Source organism: Homo sapiens, chromosome 19 (genome assembly GCF_000001405.40).
Source record: "Homo sapiens chromosome 19, GRCh38.p14 Primary Assembly".
NCBI lineage: Eukaryota > Metazoa > Chordata > Mammalia > Primates > Hominidae > Homo > Homo sapiens.
In genome coordinates, this window is record NC_000019.10 from 13,605,028 (window position 1) to 13,609,620 (window position 4,593).

The following is a 4,593-nucleotide window of genomic DNA, read 5'->3' on the forward strand; positions in this document are numbered from 1 at the left end:
AGTGAGAAGGAGAAAAAGAAAAGGAAAAGAGAGAAAGAAAAGAGAAGAGGAAGAAGAGAGAGAAAAAGAAAAGAGAGGAGAGAGGAAGAGAAAGAAAGAGAAAAAGAGAGAAGAAAGAAAGAAGAGAGACAAAGAAAGAAGAGAAAAAGAAAGAAGAGAGAAAGAAAAGAGAAAAAGGAAGAAAGGAGAAAGAAAAGAAAGAAAGGAGAAAGAAAAGAGAGGAGCGAGAAAGAGAAAGAAAGGAGAGAGAAAAAGGAAAAAGAAAGAAAACAAATTAAGAAGCTCAACCCTATACAGAAACATTTCACAAGTCACTTCAACACCCACAGGTATAAGTAGGTGGTGCACAGAATGAGGCTGCCCCCAGATTGCAAAGAACCAATTGAAGGAAGGAAGGAGGGAAGAATTATCTCCATTCCATTTCCTCTCACCCTGCTTTAAGCATGCAAAGAAATGAGAACTCTCCCAGCCTCTCCTAAGCAGATCAACTCACTATCAGCTTAGCAAATGCAGTTACCTTCCGGTTTCTTTCGAAATCCTATAACTAATGGAGTTTAATAGATCTATCCTTCATGACGCTTTTAAGCTTCAATTTACTCCAGTGAAACCTCACTCTTAATTGCCCACGATTGTGCATTTATAGTCTTTTGTGTTTTGCCAAATACTTTCCCATTGTGCTGAAAAAGAAATCTGCTTTCCTTTTATAACCACTTCTGCACGGATGCCATTCTTCTTCCCATTTCACAGAAATAAAACTGAAAACAAGAGGTAGATTCAAGTGTGTTCCAGCTACAAGGTTTTATTTCACCCCTCCCCAAAAATATTCTTCCTGCACATATATTTTTTTTTCTTTTTCTTTTTCTTTTTTTTTTAAGAGGCAGGGTCTTGCTCTGTCGCCCAGATTGGAGCACAGTGGCACCATCATAACTCACAGCACCCTTGAAGTCCTGGGCTCAAGTGATCCTCCGAAGTAGCTGGGACCACAGGCCCGTGCCACCACAGCAGGCTAATTTTTAAAATTTTTAAATTTTTCTTAGAGATAGGATCTCCCTATGTGGCCCAGGCTGGTCTCAAACTCCTTGCCTCAAGTGATCCTCCTGTCTCAGTCTCTCAAAGCTCCGGGATGATAAGTGTAAGCCACCGCGCCCGGCCACAACGATATTAAAGAAAGAAAAAATCGGCTGGGTGCAGTGGCTCACGCCTGTTATCCAGCACTTTGGGAGGCCGAGGCAGGTGGGTCACTTGAGGTCAGCGGTTTGAGACCAATCTGACCAACCTGGTGAAACCCTATCTCTACTAAAAATACAAAAATTAGCCGGGTGTGGTGGTACACATCCGTAGTCCCAGCTACGTGGGAGGCTGAGTCAGGAGAATCGCTTGAACCTGGGAGGCGAGGTTGCAGTGGGTGGAGATTGTGCCACTGCACTTCAGCCTGGGTGACAAAAAAAAAGAGAAAGAATCCAGTTTACAGGTTGGGTGAGCTGTGTAGTACCTACACATTAACTAAAATCCCAGAAACCAGACACAGTGCAAGAACTTTGACGGCAAAAATTCTGAACAAGCCAGGCTCTGTGGCTCTCACTTGTGGTCCCAGCTACTAAGGAGGCTGAGACGGGAGGATCAGCCCAGGAGGTCGAGGTTGTAGTGAGCAATGATCACGCTACTGTACTCCAGCCTGGGTGACAGAGTAAGGCTCTATCTCTGAAGATTAATTAATTAATTAAGTTCTGAAAGCAGAAGGAGTGTTTCTACCTGGGAAAGTAGGAAGCAGATCAGGAAGTCAAAACCTAAAGCTAATATCCCAGGTGACATCTTTGGAGACGTGCACCTGCTTATCCCACAGCCTGACATGGGATGCTCAATTTCCCTCTCTGGTGCTATAGCACATAGCTCCCATCCTCCCCCATCCCATTACAGGCTTCCAAATTCACCCTGATACCCAAGCCAGAAATTGAGTTGTCAATCCTGGCTTCTCGCTTCCCTTAACTCCAGGCATCAAATCCATCCGCAGGTACCATCTACTCACCTCCAAAATATATCCTGAGGGCTGGACGTGGGGGCTCATGCCTATAATCTCAACACTTTGGGAGGCTAAGGCAGGAGCACCTTTTAAGCCCAGGAGCTCAACTGAACAACATAGCGAACAACACAGTGAGACCCTGTCTGCAAAAAAGAATTTTTTTAAATCAGCCAAACGTGGTGGCATGCAATGGCAACAGTAATCCCAGCTACTCAGAAGGCTGAGGCAGGAGGATCACCTGAGCTCAGGAAGTTGAGACTGCAGTGAGCTGTGATCATGCCACTGCACTCCAGCCTGGATAACAAAGTGAAACCCTATCTCAAAAATAAAAATAAGCCAGGCATGGTGGCTCATGCCTGTAATCCCAACACTTTGGGAGGCCAAGGCGGGAGGATCACTTGAGGTCAGGAGTTTGAGACCACCCTGGACAACATGATGAAACCCCGTCTCTAATAAAAATACAAAAATTAGCCAGGTGTGATGGTGGGCACCATAATTTCAGCTACTCAGGAGGCTGAGGCAGGAGAATCACTTTCACCTGGGAGGAGGAGGTTGCAGTGAGCCAAGATTGTATCATGGCACCCCAGCCTGGGTGACAGAGTGAGACTCTGTCTCAAAAAAATAAAAATAAAAACAAGGCTGGTGCGGTGGCTCACGCCTGTAATCCCAGCACTTTGGGAGGCCGAGGCGGGCAGATCACCTGAGGTCAGGAGTTCAAAACCAGCCTGACCAACATGGAGAAACCCCATCTGCACTAAAAATACAAAATTAGCTGGGCATGGTGGCACATGCCTGTAATCCCAGCTACTTGGAAGGCTGAGGCAGGAGAATCGCTTGAACCCAGGAGGCGCAGGTTTTGGTGAGCCGAGATCACGCCATTGCCCTCCAGCCTGGGCAACAAGAGAAAAACTCCATCTCAATAAATAAATAAATACATACATACATACATACATACATACATACATACATACATACATACAAAATATATCCTGAATCCAACCACTTCCTGCACTGCATGGCTGCCACCCTCAATCATTTGGACTGGGGCTGCCTTCTTCCCTACTCCCACTCCCAATCCATTCCCTCCTCTGCAGTCAGTGCAGTCTTTCTAAAATGTCAATCAGGCCAGGTACAGTGGCTCACATCTGTAATCCTAGCACTTTGGTAGGCCCAGGTGGGCAGATCACCTGAGGTCAGGGGTTCAAGACCAGCCTGGCCAACATGGCAGAACCCTGTCTCTACTAAAAACACAAAAATTAGCCGGGCTTGGTGGCACTTGCCTGTAATCCCAGCGAGAGGCTGAGGCAGAATTGCTTGAACCCAGGAGGCAGAGGTTGCAGTGAGCTGAGATCACGCCACTACACTCCAGCCTGAGCAACAGAGTGAGACTCCATCTCAAAAAATAATAATAATAAAAAATAAAAATAAAAAATGTCAATCAGCACATTTGCTTTTGCTGGAATAAAAGCCGCATCCTCCCAGGCTGCCTCATCCCTGTGACTTTGTCCCCTCCCCTTCTCCCTGTTGCACTTTTAGCCCCAGAATCACTGGCCTTGTCCCTGTTTCTGGGCTGTGTCAAGCTCATTCCACCTTCGCACCTGCTGTTCCCTCTTCCTGGAATGCTTTTCCCCTAGTCTCGGACAAGCCAGCTTCCTGTCGTCATGCAAGGCTGTGATCAGATGCCAACTTGCAGAACCATCCACCCAAAGCACCACCCCCAGCAGGCGTTCTCATCACGCTCGCCTGTGAGGTCTTCCTTAAGGTGTTTGTTGCTCCCTGAGACCAGTACGTACATGCGGGCTTCTATAACATCCACCTCCCTGATAGGATCTCAGCTGAATTTGAACAAGGATCTTGGCCTGTCTCATTTGCCATTGAGTCTCCAATACCTTCACTATTTCTTGCCTGAATGAATGAATAAATGAATGAATGAATATTCTTAGGAATGAGTCTACCCAGGAAAATGTCATTAAGCCCCTTCCAAACCACCACCAGGGGTCTGTGACTTTTCAATTTTATGTATTTATTTTTTAATATTATTATTATTATTATGATTTTGAGACAGAGTCTCACTCTGTCGTCCAGGCTGCAGTGCAGTGGTGTGATCTCGGCTCACTGCAACCTCTGCCTCCTGGATTCAAGTGATTCTCCTACCTCTGCCTCCTGAGTAGCTGGGATTACAGGTGCCCACCACCATGCCCAGCTAATTTTTGTACTTTTAGTACAGACGGGGTTTCGCCATGTTGGCCAGACTGGTCTCGATCTCCTGACCTCAGGTGATCCTCCCACCTCAGCTTCCCAAAGTGCTGGGATTACAGGCATGAGCCACCGTGCCCTGCTGTTTTATTATTATTTTTGAGATGGGGTCTCACTCTGTTACCCAGGCTGGAGTACAGAGGCATGATCCTACCTCAGTGCAGCCTCGAACTCCTGGGCTCAATCGATCATCCCACCTCAGCCTCTCGAGTAGCTGGGACCACAGGTGCACACCACTATGCCCAGCTAATTATTTTATTTTATTTTTTGAGAGACAGGGTCTCGCTATGTTGCCCAGGCTGATCTCTAATTCTTGG